Source organism: Homo sapiens, chromosome 2, assembly GCF_000001405.40.
Source record: "Homo sapiens chromosome 2, GRCh38.p14 Primary Assembly".
Classification (NCBI taxonomy): domain Eukaryota; kingdom Metazoa; phylum Chordata; class Mammalia; order Primates; family Hominidae; genus Homo; species Homo sapiens.
In genome coordinates, this window is record NC_000002.12 from 88,572,732 (window position 1) to 88,591,124 (window position 18,393).

Genomic DNA, 18,393 nt, shown 5'->3' on the forward strand with positions numbered 1-18,393 from the left:
ATAAAATTCAAAATAAATGGTATGACCATCTAGAACATTCAGGCATTGTACTGAGACTATAACAGGTAAAAGAAACAGATATGGTTCATACCCCATAGAAACCACAGAATAAATAATCCAGGTGTGATGAGAATAATGAAGAAGGACCAGGTTTCTGTCAGAACAGTGTATATCAAGAGGAACTGAGAAAAGTTCAGAGTGGAGAAAATAGAAGACTAGAAGTTAGTCTGAAGAGGCAGGAGCCAAAGTCCTGAAGACAAAAATGTGACCAAAATATAACAGGGGGAGAGGGCCTAGAAGGTTTAACATTGAGCTCAAAGATTTAGGTCAGAACGTAGCAAAATGTACAGCTTTTTCACCCAGGAACAAAAATCTTGGCTTTTTTTTTTTTTTTGGTTGGGGGTGGCGCACTAGAAATCTTTAAAAGGAATTGTCTTCTATTTAGAAAGGAATAAAACTTTCTGATTTCTAGAAAAACTAACAGGAATATTAACTTTCTTCTTGCAATTTTTCTGGTGCATAGACAATTACAGAAAAATCTTTAGACAACATTGTAGCATTAAATGGATATTTACCAATATCTCATTTACATTATAAAATTAGCAGAAGAATATTCATTATTAGTGAAAACATGATTCATTGTCTTTCAAGTTGGCATTTGTGTGTACAGCAAGTGTTAAGTACAAGAAGAATGTGTATTTCAGCTAGCTGTTTCCCACCTAGTGATAAGCGTTTACTATATTCAAACCTAACTGCTAGTATTCTCTCAAATTAGGGGTGTGTGGTCTCCTGTAAACTGTCTTCTCCAATCCAACCAAATAATTCATCTCTGAACTTTTCATTCAGTGCAGAACAATTCTTGGCAATCAGTTTGGGCCCACGTCAAAATCACTGAAGCATAATGATTTATATGACTAAATAACAATTATATTAAAAAATAAGAATTATTTCTAATTCCTATTCTTGTTACCCTAAAACTCTTAAAATATACCCAAGAATTTGAAAACCTACTGCTGATTTTAGAAGAAAATAACTTGTGTCCAAATAGCTACTTTTGTGCCTGAAACAAGTCTGTTTTAAGTCTGAAAAGACTTAAAATGGATCCACATCTATCAAGACTTTAAGCTACTTTCATCAGAAAAGTATTTATACATTCACTCCACATCTACTGGTGATGGCTAAGAGTATATGGAATGTGGGAAATTAGTTAAATAAAAGTTCCATGTACTTATTTTTAGAAACACTACTACGGAAATGTCATGTTTTAGTAAGACTCTTTAATAATTTTGCATATTATATTACTGCAAAATTCACTACTGAATATATTGAAAATAGAATCCAAGGTTTTAGAGCTGTAAACAGTCATCTGTTAACTATTTGCTACCTTTCCCCATTCGGCTTCTTACCCCTTCCCCCAAAGTCTAAACAGTTCAGAAAAAGAAGCAAAAGTGTGGAGATTTGCCCCAATTCAAGCTGGCTAATGAAGGAACCCATGTCTCTCCTTCCATTCGGATCCCTTTCACCATGCTGCTTCAGAGCCCTGGAGGTATTGGTGTCAGGGTTACTCAAAACCATAGAAAAACAAAAACAAACAAACAAACAAAAAAACAGGCTATATCTGCTCATGGTGGATTTTACCTAAAGATTCTTTTTTCTTTTTTTTCCCTCACCTGGACTACTGAGAATACCTTTTACAGTAAAATGAACACAAACACATTACTGAAGACAATGAATGCATGGTTTGCCTAAAGTTTTCAGACATAAGACTTCTTATTCTTGCAGCAGGCCCCTTCGAGGCTACTTTCTCAGACCTCTGCTCTCAGATGCTTTTACTCTCCCCAACTCTTAAGGATCCTTCAGAGTACTGCAAGTACTGCTCTGAATCACAAAACGTCAGATTGAAACCCCAAGGGTGATGCTCCACAAATACAGACCTTGAGGTCCCTGTGCATCAGTCCTTTACTGTGAAGAAACTCCACTGCCTCTGCGATCTGCAGGAAGATGTGCAGACACACGCTCCTCTCTCTCTCCTCTATGGTACATCGTCCATTCATCCAGTCTTTGAGGTTTTCTTTTCTGCACAGCTGCATTTGAATGTAAAGATACACCTTTGGTGAACTGGGCTGGAGTTTTTCTGTGGTGTTTTTAGTGAGATCTAAACTTAAAGTGGTTGGTCTTGGAGGAGAAATAGACAATGTAGCTTCAGAAGAAGATTTGCTACTGGTGGGCTTGAAAGCAGTTAGTTTATTAGCACAATGGTTGCCAATATGCAATCGATTAGTTTTCGGCTCTTCTTTACTGGAAGCATTATCACAGCCAGAATCTTCAAATACTATTGAAGAGGAGGTTCTCTCCCTTGACCTTACATAAGGAGAAGCTTCAGAAGGACAAAGTTCAAAGGAGTGCCCCTCATCATTGCCATCCATAGTCCCATCTTCCACATCACAGTCTGTAAGGCAACTGTCCTGGAGGTTGTATGCTGCATCCACTGACTCACTGATGTCCTCATGGTCCATTCCTGAGAATTCCAGTGGTGAGAACTGGCTCTCAGATGAACTTGTCTGGTCACAGGAAATCCCTACTGAAAAAGACCTGCTTCTTTGTGGTGAAGGAGCTATGATTTCAATATGTTCTTTTGTAGCGAAAGGATCCATTCTGCGTATTTTAACTGATGGTGCATCCATTGGGCTAGGAGAGCTGAGTGGCCAGTCTGTGCTAAAAGTGGGAGAAATACAAAGGGGTAAGAGTGAATATATATTGATTCAAGTACCTGAACTGCACCCTCTGTTTAAAAAGCTTCAACTGTAATAAGGCCACTTACCAAATGACAACAAAACAACATACAAACTAAATAAAAACATGCAATGTGAGATACAGAACATCACATTCCATTCATTCCTTCTAAAAAACTTAATTTTAAAGCTTAATTTTATACATGAAACAGTTACCTGGGACTGTCTGGGGCTGCCAGAGCAGCCAAAGCCTTTTATGCAAAGTGAGGACAGGATTCCTTGGTGGCTTAAAATTAACCTAAAAGGGCAGCGCCTCACAAGGCCTTGAGACATGGGGCCACTTCACTTGGTCCTTCTATGGCTTAGTTATTGGTTGAGTCTATAATAAGCACCACTTTAACAAGGTACCTCACGTGGATCTAATGTTGCTTAGATACCTGTAGGTAGGAGTTTCACTCCAGTTGTTTGGTGGCAGTCTATCTACACATGCTTCCTTTTTCTTCTCCTTTAATAGTTTTTAAAGGGCCTTCCTTCCTATAGCACATCATAGTTAATATGGACAATATATTCAGGCTAAGTTTATGTATTTTTAACTGCAAATAGTTCAAAACTACTTAAAAAGGAGCTGTAAATTGTTAACTGCTAAGAGAACTAAATAACAAACATTTTTAAAAAATGGAGACAGAAGCAGATACCTTATACTGAGAAAAGTCACTATAAATCCCTCAATCAATCACAATGTATAGAGTCCTATCAACTAGTAATTTTTTAAAATGTAAGTTCTCTCTTATTTTTTCTAAGAGACAGGGTCTCACTATGTTGCTCAGGTTGGTCTTGAACTCCTGGGCTCAAGCCATCTTCCCACCTCGGCCTCCCAAAGTGCTGGGATTACAGGCATGAGTCACCCGTGTATGTTCTCAAAATCTAAACCAAAATTTCACAAGTGGCTAGAGAACTTTTCAAAACATGAAACAACAGAACTCTGCTGTTCCTTTTCTTTAAAAAAAAAAATCCCTAAAGTTATAAAACTGACATTGTAATCACACAAGCAAAAAACTAGCTTAAGTGTATGTGTAACAAAGTTAGTTACCTTTCATCTTTCAGCCAAATTTCATCCATCTTTTCTTGCCACTTCTCTGGTGGTGCTTCGAGCCAGGCATTGAAATATCTAACAATGCCCGGGTGTTCAAGCTTGGCTAAGGCTTTAACTTCTCGCATTACCTTTTCCCGAGCCAATTCCCTGAAAGAGAGAAAATATTTAAGGTGATGGATATTCCAATTACACTGATTTGATCTTTACAAATTATATGACTTATACCCCTAAAATATGTAGATGTATTATATACCAATAAAAAAGGAAAATTAAAGAAATAAAATTAGCCTGAAAAAGAGAGAAAGTAAGACAACACTGAAGGCTGTTCATATCTGAAGTATTCATATCTAATAGTGAAAACAGAAAAATAATAAAATAGGATCTTTTCTTGAAACTAAAATTAGAAACAGATGAGTTAGCCTAGGTTATACTTTTTTTTTTTTTTGAGACAGGGTCTTGCTCTGTCACCCAGGCTGGAGTGCAGTGGCGCAATCTCGGCTCTCTGCAACCTCCGCCTCCCTGGTTCAAGTGATTCTCATGCCTCAGCCTCCCGAGTAGCTGGGATTACAGATGCGCACCACCACACCCAGGTAATTTTGTGTTTTTGGTAGAGACAGGGTTTCACCATGTTGGTCAGGCTAGTCTCGAACTCCTAACCTCAGGTGATCCACCTGCCTTGGCCTCCCAAAGTGCTGGGATTACAAGTGTGAGCCACCGTGCCCGGCTAGCCTAGGGTATACTTCTAAAAGGCCACACAAGTCCTGTATTTTAAAAAATACAAGTATTTCAGTTTTGTTTGTTTTTCTCTTCTGGAAATAAATGCTACAAGCGCATCTACTGCACGTACAAATAAAGTTTTAAAATCCCAACTTCTTTGCTTGGCATTTAAGGTGCTACAAGCTATCTTTTTTTTTTTTTTTCCTGAGACAGGGTCTCACTCTGTCACCCACGCTGGAGTACAGTGATGCGATCTCAGCTCACTGTAACCTCCAACTGCCTTTTAGTAGAGATGAGATTTTGTCATGTTGGTCAGGCTGGTCTCGAACTCCTGGCCTCAAATGATCCACCCGCCTAGGACTCCCACAGTGCTGGGATTACAAGCGTGAGCCACTGTACCTGGCCAACCTATCTTTTTCTTCCTCTCTTCCATCCTCCCCTATTCTTACCCTTTGTTCCATCTACTCCAGAACTCTCACCATTCTCCATACCACCTCCAAGTGCTTGTGAGAGCCTTTGCTCGGGCCATTTCATGCACTTGGCCATCCCTCCCCACCTGTCTCCTACTGAGGGAAAGGCTACTCTTGAGCACCCAGAGCAAATGCCGCCATTTCTAAGAAGCTTGACTTCCTTGACTGCCTTTTGGCCACATCTGCTCTTCTTCATGAGAAGCTATTAATATTTACTAAGATAAGGCAAAGGTCAAAATCTTTCTTGCATTGTATTTACTTGAGTGTACATACAGAAGCACCAAAAAGGTACAGGCTTCTTGAGGGCAGAAACCTTGCTCAGTTTTTATCACTTATGTAGTGCCTGGCACATATGAATATTTAAACTACTCAAAAGTTATTTACCAAAAGAAAAAAAATAGTTCCCTAGTACCCAAACCATCCAATTCCTGTACCTACCAGACAGGAATTTGAAAAAGCTGTGACTACCAGATATGATGACAGCACAACAATTAGTGTGCATTTAATCAAGAATCAACAAGAGGCCAGGCACAGTGGCTCATGCCTGCAATCCCAGCACTTCGGGAGGGCAAGACGGGTGGATCATTTGAGGTCAGGAGTTCGAGACCAGCCTGGCCAACACGGTGAAACACTGTCTCTACTAAAAATACAAAAATTAGCCGAGTGTGGTGGTGCATGCCTGTAATCCCAGCACTTTGGGAGGCCAAAGCAGGTGGATCACCTGAGGTCAGGAGTTTGAGACCAGCCTGGCCAACATAGTGAAACCCCATCTCTACTAAAAATACAAAATTAGCTGGGTGTGGTGGTGGGTGTCTGTAATCCCAGCTACTCGGGAGGCTGAGGCATGAGAATCACTTGAACCAGGGAGGCAAAGGTTGCAGAGAGCCGAGATTGTGCCATTGCACTCCAGCCTGGGTGACGGTGCAAGACCCTGTCTCAAAAAAAAAAAAAAAAGCAACAAGGGCCTTCTACATAGTTAGAATAAAAGGTATTGCTGGAACCCTATCATCTTAAGCATCACACTGTTCTGAGCCAGAAATCACACTTCTAGGAATCTATCCTAAGGAAATAGATATTGTCAAAAGGTACATAAAAAGATGAATACTGCAAAGGTTTTTTTTATGGTAAAGTTATTTCTAATTCTAACAAATTAGAAACCAAATTGTTTAACAATAAGAAATGGTTAAACAAAATATGGCACGTGTATTAAATGGACTATTACCAAGCCATAAAATACTTTTAATATATTTTAGGATTCTAATAACATATTCTTAATAACATGAAAAATATAGAGGATATGATGAAGAAAGCAACAGACAAAACTGTACAGTACTGGCAACTGGCTACCAGTTAGGTAAATATATGACCAGAAAACAAAATCAAAAGGAAATACTCTAAAGTGTTAATAGTTATTACCAGGTAGAGACAATATAATTCAAATGTTTTTGTTCTAGTACTTTTCCTTATTTATACAAAAATATAGAATGTTTTAAAATGCTGCAATTTACTGGTCTACAGTTATTATAAGCCACTAAACGAAAGTCCTGAGTTAATAATAAAAAACAAGGGCATATTTTAAAAGTAGATAGAAAGCAACCTATAGAGATAACAACTTTTAGACAGCTGGTTAATTGGCAGCACTTAGAACCTAAGATTTGAAACGTCTGAAACTGTTTTCTATGGTGTTTACAGAGTACAGTAAGAAGGATATTTTACCCATGAGATTAGATCACACTGTGCTGATTTCAAGTTTACTGAAGGTACCACCCATTACCTATTGGGGAGACGGATCCTCTTGATAGCATAATTGCAGTCATCTACTTTGTTTTTAGCTTCAAAAACAACTCCAAAGCCACCACGTCCCAGGCATTGAATTGGCTCAAAATCAGTTAGATATCTTTAAAAAGAGATAAAATTTATAAAGGTTTGCAACAGTTTTAAATTTTGTGGTAATGTGAAAATCAGTTCAATCTTATGACACATAAAAATGTATAAACTCATAGAACTCATCTTAATAAATAGTATATTTTGAATTTGATTAACAGCATTTTTAGTCCTGTTTGTATAAATGAAGCAAACACATTCTTATGTTTCCTAGAAAAAAATTAAAAATAAAAAAGACATGTTTAATTGGGAATCACTTGTTAATCACTTTTTCTTACAACTGCTGCACTAGTGATGTGTGCTGTCCAATACTTCCTATCATCTACCAAAATATCATATTCCTAATCCTCATATCTTTTACATTCTGTGACATTTTGTAATCAATTACAGAAAATGTGTTTTTATCTTAGCTAATTACCTGTCAATTTTATGGGAAAATTTTAATCAGTCCTATTATACCCAGGTACTATTTTAGCCATAAACCTTCCTAGGAACCAAAGCTGACATGGGTTGGGTTGCCCCACGAGTCAGTGTACCTACCACTGGAGGTACCAAGTCAAACAGAAGCCAACTCACCATCTGTCACTCACAGGGGCCTCCACTAAGCAGCCTGTTTCTCCCTTTAGTGCTGACTTCACTGACCTGCACTGTATCATCCAGTCAATTTGCACCATGCTGTCTCACAATTCAAGGTTTTGCTTCTGCTGTCTGCTCCACTGGGATGGCCTTCCTCTTTGCATTTAATGAACCCTATTCTTCTTTCATTCTGCTCATCTCCTCACCTCTGTAAGGCTTTCTTAGACCCCTGTCTTGACATTCCCATAACACTCTGCACATAATACTTTGAAGTATTTAAACTTAATCTTAATTTTTTGCAATTATGTGTAAGCAGCTCCCTTCTCCCACCGCCACTGTATTTTGGGGGCCATGAATGCAGAAAATCATTCTTGTTTCTCTTTGTATTTCCAATGGGTGGGCACTACCTGACAAACCGAAAGTCTAACAAATGTCTGTTGAATAAATGCATGAATTAATGAATAAATTAGATGATGTCTGATATCCCTTATAAGGGTAAGTTTATGACTTACATACTCATTATTTACTTTAAGACTTACATTATGACTTACATACTCATTTATTTAGTAGTTGCCTCAGCTGGTTAAAGCATGGAGTTAAGGAGAAGCAATAGATTTCAACGTTCCATGGGCCAATTCCTTTCATAGAAAATGAAGAGTAATAATCTGTATTCCTAAAAATAGCCAGTCAAGGTACCTCAGTACAAATCAGTCTCCCCAAATGCAAAAGCCCACAAACTTCATATCCTACTCCTGGAGGGCCAGCTGAATTATCTTCCCATATTAAGGAAAACACCTATATAAAAACGGATTATCTTCTAAAAAGAGTAACATCTTATATGTGATTACAGACCCTAGAAATGTAAGTATCATCTTGCCTAAGTTGTCAGCTGATAAATAACAGAGCTGAGATTTGAACTCATGACTGAATGCAGAGTTCATGTTCTTAACAGTGCCTAGGACATTGTCGCCACTAAAAAACATTAGGTATTATTATAGAACTCCCATATTAAAAAAAAAAAAAAAAGACCCAAGAGCTGCATTCTTCATATTGAATAAAGTTAAACTGACTTAAGTCTAATTCAATTTTGAGTATATTTTTCTAATTTTCTTGACAAAAGCCTGACAAATACATCTTTATTCATGATACCGCATTTATTCTACTCCCCAAACCTCATCTCTACTTGCCGAACTCTCACAATTTAAAATTCAGTTCAAATATGACTTCATTTATGATGTCCTCCTAGATCATCACAAACAGATTTAGTGATTTGGTTCATGGCTTTCTTCTTACATGCTTGTTTTACCCAGTAGTATCTTTCCCATAGACTTTAAGCTTCTCCAGGATAGGAGCAGTCTTTTTATTTCTCCCAAAGCCTGAAATATTGTCCTGCACACAGCTGTTCCGAATAAATGTTTAATGAACAGTGAATAACTTCAGTAGTAGACTACCTCATGGGAGTTGTTGGATCCTTTATTCTTTCTCTCACTGCCTGCTGGTGTTGACAGTCACTGATATATTAGTATTTTTATTAGCAAAGGTATTAAAGTAGCCTTTAGCATTTGTTAATCACCTAGTAAATTTTGCTTTGTTTATGAAATTGACTGTTTTTACCTGTTCCCCACCATCCTGAAGCAGCTGGTTTGACAGAAAGGTAGAATGGCCTTTTAAGACTCCATTACACTGCCAGGTAGGTACCTTGCAGGGCTGGGCCAGGGTTCTCCAGAAAGCTGGATATGCTCTGAATCAGTGTCTAATATATTATAGCATGGTTTCTCCCATAGCCAGTATTTACAGGTCCAGGGATCAAGGGATGGAAATGCGAGTGGCATCACCCACCATTACCACCTAGTGATCCACTGGCAACATTTTTGCTTCCTGTTCCTGTGACCTTATGTTCGGCAGGCCTAGAGGTCTTTGTCTAAGGGAGAGGAACACTTCCACCAGGAGATACAACAGCAACTTTGAACTCCTCATGCCTTCCAATCAACAAAGAAGACAGCTACTGTGCTGGCTGGATGACTAATCCTGACTACTAAGGGGAAATTGGATTGCTGTTTCACAGTGGAGGTGTAAGAAAGAGTAGGTCTGAAATACATGAGATCCCTTAGGGATCTCTTTGTATAATCATGCCTTGTGATTAAGGTCAATGGAAAACTACAACAATCCAATCCAGGCAGAACTACCAATCTCCCAGACCCTTCAGGACTGTGGATTTGGGTCACCCTACCAGATATAGAATTACAACCGGCTGAGGTGTTGTTCTCCAATGGGAAAGGGAATATGGGATGGATAGAGGAGGAAGGTACTTATAACTACCAGCTGTGACCACATGACAGGTATCAAAAATGAGAACTGTAATTGTCACAAGTATTTCCTTAATTTGTTGTGAATATGCTTGTGCATCTATATCTATATAGAAGTATATATATAAAGATATATGCCTATGTATAAGATATATATGCACATCTTGTCATTTCTGTTTCCTTGGAGGGCCCCAATATACATATTTATCTATTATTTTCAATCTTTTCTGCCATAAAATCATTACCCTAGATATTAAGCAGTATAGTTCCACGTCTTTTCCTTGTCCCCATATCACTAAAGTGATAAGAAGTATGCTATCAAGACAAAGAGAAAAATAGGTATAATCCATGTAATATGAAAAATAAACCATAACACCATTTCCAGTTATCACAATGCATCAAAGGTGACATTTTATACTTGAGAGATTGCTAATAGCTTCTTTACTTTTATTTAAACTGCCTACTTTTAGCTAATCCATCTCCCCCTTCTGCTTTTAAAAACTATCTGTTCTATTAGTGTTTTTTTCCCTATATTTCTACTTCCTATTACAGATAGAACAATAATGAAAATAAATGAGGATTCCGAAACGTGGAGACTCATATCACACTCTTATAAACCTAATTATTATCTGGTACTATAAATGCTAATCCTAGTACATAGTAGACCCTAAATAACTAAGTTACTTGAATAAGAACTTAATTTGGTAGCTGAAATTCTAAATTCCTATAACACTCTATTTTTATCTTTCTTAGGGTATATACCACTTTTAATACATTTAAGTTACCTGAATTTATTTATTTATTGAGGGTTAAGCCTATGTTTTATTTTTCTAGATATCCACACATTAAAAAAAAAGTTAAACAAGATCTTAGGTCATTTCTTCTTTGATTCAGATGGTTGTATTTTATAAGACTCTTACCGTGATATATATCCAGAGTTTTTTATGTCATTCCAGCTACTGTCATTGGCTTCACCACTTACAGAATCATATTTATTTTCAGTTTGACACTGAGTTTCAGACTCCTTCCTTTGCTGATAAGGTGAAAAACAAAATCACTACCAGTACAAAGCTGAACTGAAGTTAGCTAACAATTTTAGGTTATAAAATAAACAACACTGAAAAATACATAAGTAGCATCAAGAAAAATAAAAGCATTATGAAAACAAAGTGCAGCATTTTGCTTTATTATAAAAGAAAAAAAGTTTATCTTCCCACTGCTATCCCTCCAGTCTTTGAGGGGATTTTGTTTCTTTATAATGTGGGTATGTCATATGTACAGCATGATACATAACTAGATAGAAAGACAATGCACACATGTAAGCATAAACACAAACTCCTGGGCAAGACTAGAGTGATTTCTTTTGACAAAATAAGGTAGGGAAAAAAAGCAAACAAACAAAAAACCCAGTAACAATAACAACAACAACAAAAAGACTAGAGAGATTTCCTTCCTAACCAGTTTCATAGATTGCATTAAAATGCTTTTAAGAACAGGAAATTAAATCAGGCAATGCCTCTTTACCAACATCTCCTAAAAGATGTTTTAGAGGATGTTAATAATTATCATGGTCAAATTGGGGCACTGTGGGTCACCTGTTTAGTCACTGATTCTTTCAACAAATCTTTACTGAGCTCCAATTATGTGCCAAGCACTGTGTAAGGGGCTGAGGAGATGGTGGTAAACAGTGTAGACTGGTTCTTGTCCTTAAGAATGTACAGTCTAGGCCAGGCGTGGTGGCTCATGCCTGTAATCCCAACACTTTGGAAAGCTGAGGTGGGCAGATCACTTGAGGCCAGGAGTTCCAGACCAGCCTGACCAACATAATGAAACCCCATCTCTACAAAAAATACAAAAATTAGCTGGGTGTGGTGGTATATGCCAATAGTCCCAGCTACTCGGGAGGCTGAAGAACAAGAATTGCTTGAACCCAGGAGGCGGAGGTTGCAGTGAGCTGAGATGGTGCCACTGCATTCCAGCTTGGGTGACAGAGTGAGATGAGTGAGACCCTGTCTCTGAAAAAAAAAAAAAAAAAAAAAGAATGTACAGTCTAGAGGTAGAGAGAGAAATTAGGAATTACCTATTAAATATTTTAGTAAATACTCTAGTAAGAGGAGTACAGAGTGTAGACATAGGCAGGAAATCTAACTCAGAAATAAGAGGTTAAAGAAGACTTCCCAGGGGACGTGGCAACTAATTTCAAACTAAAAGATATTACCCAGGAGTTAATTATTTGAGAGGGAAGGGAGAGGAGGTAAGGAACAAGGTTCCAAGGCGAGGTTAGAGGGATGAGCACCACCAGGCTAAGCGAGAGCACGGTCTACAGGAAGGACTGAAAGCAGCTCAGCCTAGTGGCTGAGCACGGTGGAGGGGAGGAAGGGATTAGGGTACCAGTGAAGGATGGGTCACGTGCAGGCAGGGTACGAATCATTCAGAACCTTGCATGTTTTAAGAAGGTTGGACTTGAGCCTAACAATGGGGAGGAGGGTCAGGTATTAGAGGTTTTTAAGCCCAGAAATGCAGCTAGAGTTAGGGTGTGGAGAATGGACTGGAGATAGCCTGAGGACTAGGGGCACAGAGGCCAGTTAGAAGTTATTTCAGTGATTCAGGAGAGGTGTGATGATGGTATTTGTGCTGTGGAAATGAAAACTGACACATAGAGAAGAAGAAAAATGTGAAGATATCTAGGAGGAAGGATTCGACAGAACTTGGTGACTGATAAGGGAGAGCAAAATGATTTCATGGCTTTCGTGACTGCATACGGCAGTACGTTTCTTTGAGAGAGAAAAATGCTAGAACAGGCTGGGGAGGGGAGGGGAATGGGAGGGGAAATGAGGACAGTCTGAGATATGGCTCATTTGAAGTGCCTGTGTAGCACTTACTAGATAGCTGTTCCAGAGAAACAGATTTGGGAACCATTAGTATATAAGAAGATTGGAGCTGGGAAAGTAGGGAAGACCATCTAAGGAGAGTTTGTGGGATGAACAGTGAAAAGAGGGAGTGCTGAGGAATACCAACAATACTGAGAGGATGAGAAAGATCAGGTCCTGAAGCATCCACATCACACCCAAGGAGACCAGGAGAGCATGGTGTCAAGGAAGTCAGGCAAGAAAGGTCAAAGGGAGATGTTCAACAGTGTCAAATACAAAGAGGTTCAGTTAGATAAGGACTGAAAAATGTCCATTACATTTAACACAAGGAAGATCACTGAGAACTTTGGCAAGAGTAGCTTTGGTGGAGCAGTAGGGATGGAAGCCAGACTGTGATGGGTTGAGAAGCAAATAGGAGGTGGGGAAGTGGAAACCAGACAGTAAGCAACCATGATTCTTACCCTGTGAGGATGAGGATGGAAAAGCCTGCGCACAATAAACGTTGTTGCTATGATACAAAACAAAATCGTTGCAACTATTTCTTTCCACCAGTGTAAAAGAAGAACAGGATCCTTTTTGCGGATATTCTTGTTGTAATGTGGGTTGTCGAGGAATCTGACTGTAATCTGTGTGCTTCGTTTGTTCCTCTCCCTCTTGTAGTATGGTAGATAATAACCATTATCTTCAAATAGAAACATTAAAACGTTTTTTTTAAAGGTAATCAAAAATAGGCCCGTCTTTAACTATTAAAATTTATCCATTTTCCTGTGACTTATCACATTAATTCCTTTTAAGTTTTGTCTCTCTTCTTTAACGTATTTTAAACATCTTAATTTGTCTCATTTTTCTCCCGTAAATATAGACATTTTCCTTTATCCTATAAGCATATTAAATTTTCTTTATATTAAGTAATAAGACTAGAAAAAAATCTTAAGGGCTACTCCATTCATAACCTCATTAATAATTCAATTCTTTAAATATAAGAATTAATACTCAATCTTCCTTCAGGGTATTTTTAGCTTTCTTTTTGTTTAGTTATCAATAAAATACCAAATTTTACCACCAATCATTCTTCACAAAATGAAAGGAAAACATCCATGCTGTTTGGTTCAGTTTAGGCTGTCAAAATGAGTTTGTCCCAGAAAAATAGCTTGTCTTTTTTTGTCTTCTATTTTGTACTACGTGGTCAGACTACACAGTTCTCTTTTATCTTGCCTTTTTTTTTTTTTTTTTTTGAGACAGGGTCTTGCTCTGTTGCCCAGGCTGGAGTGCAGTGATCTTGCCTCACTGCAACCTCTGTCTCCTGGACTCAGGTGATCCTCCTGCCTCAGCCTCCTGAGCAGCTGGGACTACACATGTGTACCACAATGCCTGGCTAATTTTTGTATTTTTAGTAAAGATGGGGTTTCACCATGTTGGCCAGGCTGGTCTTGAACTCCTGACCTCAAGTGATCCACCCGCCTCAGCCTCCCAAAGTGCTGGGATTACAGGCATGAGCCACCACTCCCAGCCTAACTTGTCTTTTGATCAATATCAAGATAAAGGAGCCGGGCACAGTGGCTCACGCCTGTAATCCAGACACTTTGGGAGGCCGAGGCAGGTGGATCACAAGGTCAGGAGTTCGAGAACAGCCTGGCCAATATGGTGAAACCCCGTCTCTACTAAAAATACAAAAATTAGCTGGGCGTGGTGGCGTGCATCTGTAGTCCCAGCTACTCGGGAGGCTGAGGCAGAAGAATCGCTTGAACCCAGGAGGTGGAGGTTGTAGTGAGCCGAGATTGTGCCACTGCACTCCAGCCTGGGTGACAGAGCGAAACTCCATCTCAAAAAAAAAAAAAAAAAAAAAAAAAAAAGATAAAGGCTGCTGTTTCTAGTTCAGAGCCATTTTTTTTTAATCAATTTAATTTATATAATAACTTTCCAGTGCTAACATCTAGGGTAACTGATGAGTCGTCTACGTGTTTACCTGATACAGATTTGAGGACTTCTTAATTACACAACTGTTTAAAAGGCTTTCATATCTGAATATATCCTAACTTCAAAAAACTGCTGCTTACTAAATAGAAAATGTATTTCATGCCAAATCTCACCTATTCTTGACTTTTGCACTAATTTCTCTTGTCTGAGTAAGAAGATAACCTCATTGTGCATCATTTTCATGTAGTTTTATGAAAAACACATTTTCTTCATTATACAGGCAACTATACAGCCTACATAATATAGTCTGATAAATAAGAGCTAATAACGAGAACCAATGTTTACTGACACTATGTGCCACGTATGATGTTAACTGAGACTTTGCCTGCGTTATCTCATTTAGGCCTCACAACAACTCAATACATAGATATTAGGATTATTATTCTAATTTTACAGATAAAGAAATTGAGACACAGGGGAGTTAGATGTGCCCAACCTAGCATGTGGCAAAAATGGGATCTGAACCCTGGCAACCTAACTTTGGAGCTTGTATGCTTAGTAATCATTCATGAAATTGTCTCCCAAGATGTTTTATTGTCTATACTCTAATCGACTTTTCTTCATTTGAATTCTATTAATTTCAAATTAAAAAATAAAATAAATAAAACTCAGTATTTTCACTTACCATATGGATACTGCAAGATTGAAAGTGCACCATTACTATATTCTTCATGAGAAAACTTATCATTACTGAGACATTTGTCAAATTCATCAGATCCTACCAAGACAGGAGTTCTGGAAGGAGAATCTAAAAGAAAATTATTATTTTCTTAATAATAATATTTCTTAAGTCTGAACTGTTATGACTTGAATAAAAATGCACGTGCTTAATTGAATAAACTGATATTCAACCATAATTCAATTCAAACATATAAGTTAAACAAATGGCCCAGAGCTCTTGCCTTTGAAAAGCACAGTTTTACAGAGAATCTGAGTTGTTTAAACAAACAATTAAAATATGACATGACATATGTAGTAAAAAACACGTACAAGGTTTAGAAAGATAATGAAAGAAGTAGGTGCACAGTATTTGATTTCTATTCGTTCAGTCTCAAAGAATATGATGTGCTAACCAGATAACTTTTGCCTAAACAGTCTTAATATAAGTATGTTAAGCGCTAAATGTTACTTTGGCATGGTCAGGGAATGATTAAGAGTTTTTCTAAGTTGTATAGAGAAATATTTGATTAACATTTTTTAGAAGCAACTGCTGCTTCCAAGAAATGATGCTCTAAATGAAAATAAAAATTCATTATTAACATCTGAAATACCATCATGGTTTATCAATAAAATATAAAGTATATAACAGTTCTTATCTCTGCAGTATTCAAAACTAGGGCAAAGACAGTCAGGATTAGGTCTCTGAACACTAACAGTATTTAGAAAAGTTTACAATTCACTTACGAATTAAGGGTTTCCATTTGATTGTTGGTAAAGGAATAATTGCGTTTTCATTAGTGACAGATTCCAAAGCCTTGGGACTTGAAGGAAACTTTTCTGAAATTCTGACTGATGACTGCAGATACAGCTGGCCTCTATACATTCCTGAATCAACCAGAACATTGTCAATTATGCATTGATTTTTTTAAAAAGGTTTTTTTAATTAAATAAAATTACATTAATTCCAGTTATTTCTACATACACCACAAAACTCTTGTCAAAGAAGAAACATGCTTGAAGCACTCAAAGATAAACTCAATGTTTATTCAACAAAAACAGGGAGGGAAAGTTACACAAAAGGTCCATATGATATTTCTCACTGAATAATAGCACATTTTCAGTAATACAGGAAAATTGTTCCAGTAGAAAAATTCAAAGATAAGTCACTGTACTCTCACAAAACAAATAGCTTACACTAAGTAACTTTCTCAAGAAAGTTTACCTAAACACCTATAATTCTAGAAATATTGCTAACAATTCAGTTAAATACTATCATAACACAAATGACATGTTATTCCTTCAAATTCTTGCTTTTCATTCAAACCAACAGGTGGATGGCACATTGTCAGAGCTTATAGAATTTTATGAGTATTTGATGATGCAGACTAGTTCAAATTAGATCCAAGAGTTTTCAAAATTTATAATATTAAAGGCTTTCAATTGCCCAGAAGCACACCAGAGTTTTATTTTTTAGATCAGTTGTACAGATGCACTGATAAAAAAGAAAGAAATCTAATCTTAAAGAGGGGAGGGTCACAAACTAATATGGATGCAAATACAAATACAGAAAATTATAGACTTTGAGGATATATACCTAACTATATATTTTATATGTAATTACATATAAATAATTATATATGTAATACATATATGTAATTACTTATAAATAATTATATATATATAAACAGACAGAGTGTTGTCCTGTCACCCAGGCAGGAGTGCAGTGACATGATTATAGTTTGGGGTAGGCTCTAACTCCTGGGGTCAAGCGATCCTCCCATCTCAGCCTCTGGAGTAGCTAGGATTACAGGTGCGTGCCACCATTCTTGGCTAATGAGTAATTTGAAATCATGTTATATAATGAGAATATTTCTAAGCCTTTCTAATATAGACCTCAGAGAAAAAGAATATGCGACAGTAATTAAAAATTTCAGAATTGGGCTGGGCGTGGTGGCTCATGCCTGTAATCCCAGCACTTTGGGAGGCCGAGGTGGGTGGATCACCTGAGGTCAGGTGCACTATATTCTGGCCAATGTGGTGAAATCCCATCTCTACTAAAAATACAAAAATTAGCTGGGCATGGTGGCAGGTGCCAGTAATCCCAGCTACTTAGGAGGCTGAGGCAGGAGAATCGCTTGAACCCAGGAGGCGGAGGTTGCAGTGAGCAGAGATCATGCCATCACACTCTAGCCTGGGCGACAAGAGTGAAACTCCATCTCCAACAACAACAAAAAAATTTTCAGAATTGGACAAATGGAAAAGTAGCAGGAATGGAAATCGAAGTATAAATCTCAAGGGCAACGTACATCAGAGATGATATTAGGATTTAAAACTACTACAGGCACTCCTGAAGTAGGAAGGAACAATGTAAGAAGAAAATCTAGATGTCAATGTGTACTATCGTTAGATAAGATACATTTACTCACCCAAGTAAACACTGTTTTCTGTGGCTCCTCTGGCAGCTTCTACAATGTCTTCTTCATCTTCTAAAACATCATCATTAGATGTATAACTTGTATCATCAAAAAGACTGATGGGAATGACTTTCCCATCCTTAAGTAACCAGGCAGATGCAATTGGAGTACAAAACTAAACAAAAATGGAAAAAAGGTCTTAAATAATTCAAGCAGTAGTTATATAGTTCCAACCCATAAAATACCATTTAAAATCACAAATTTATAAAAGCACAGAGAACAAGCTGAGAGCCCCAAGTAGTAGTAATTTCGTTCCACCCAATCAATAAGTTTGGTCAGACTGGGAGAGGAAGAACCGTATTTTAAATCCTCAGTGGTGTTAGGTACCTGGTACTCCCATTCCAGATGTCCTCCCTTCTTACTGAATGCCATAACTTTCCAGTCAGCAACCGAAACCTTTATCACTATGTCCATTATGGCAGCTTCCTGTTCTTCCACATCTGAAATAATTTTAGACTCTTCTGTGTTCTCATTGGGCTTAAAGGTGCTTTCAATAAATCCGGCTCTCGTTTCCATGTCTGGAATATACCGAAGTTCAAAGTGGCCAACACTGAAATTCCACCTTAAATTTACAAAGGTGTGTTTTAGAAATTTACATTTAAAGAAAGGGACAAAATAATATAGAACTCTTCTA

At 37.7% G+C, this 18,393-nt stretch overlaps 1 protein-coding gene and 1 long non-coding RNA gene across 6 annotated transcripts in view; one reads left to right on the forward strand and one right to left on the reverse strand.

Annotated features, from left to right (window-relative positions):
• The window catches only part of EIF2AK3-AS1 (EIF2AK3 antisense RNA 1), a 36,891-nt gene extending 34,012 nt beyond the window's left edge, over positions 1 to 2,879 (forward strand). Inside the window, exon 3 of the long non-coding RNA NR_110236.1 lies at positions 1,783 to 2,879. This is a non-coding gene — a long non-coding RNA (EIF2AK3 antisense RNA 1). The remainder of the gene's footprint in view (positions 1 to 1,782) is intronic.
• EIF2AK3 (eukaryotic translation initiation factor 2 alpha kinase 3) overlaps positions 1 to 18,393 on the reverse strand; it is a 71,405-nt gene that overhangs the window by 15,991 nt on the left and 37,021 nt on the right. For 4 of the 5 annotated variants that reach the window (XM_047446428.1, NM_004836.7, NM_001313915.2 and 1 more), the window contains 9 exons: positions 18,087 to 18,321; positions 17,712 to 17,874; positions 16,030 to 16,170; positions 15,251 to 15,373; positions 13,110 to 13,330; positions 10,699 to 10,811; positions 6,787 to 6,909; positions 3,823 to 3,972; positions 1,935 to 2,715 (listed from right to left, as the gene is read on the reverse strand). In XM_047446428.1, coding sequence (XP_047302384.1) covers positions 1,935 to 2,715; positions 3,823 to 3,972; positions 6,787 to 6,909; positions 10,699 to 10,811; positions 13,110 to 13,330; positions 15,251 to 15,373; positions 16,030 to 16,170; positions 17,712 to 17,874; positions 18,087 to 18,321 — 2,050 coding nt within the window. Of the gene's footprint in view, positions 1 to 1,934; positions 2,716 to 3,822; positions 3,973 to 6,786; positions 6,910 to 10,023; positions 10,094 to 10,698; positions 10,812 to 13,109; positions 13,331 to 15,250; positions 15,374 to 16,029; positions 16,171 to 17,711; positions 17,875 to 18,086; positions 18,322 to 18,393 lie in introns of those variants that run through there. The other variant, XM_047446430.1, reaches the window with a different exon arrangement.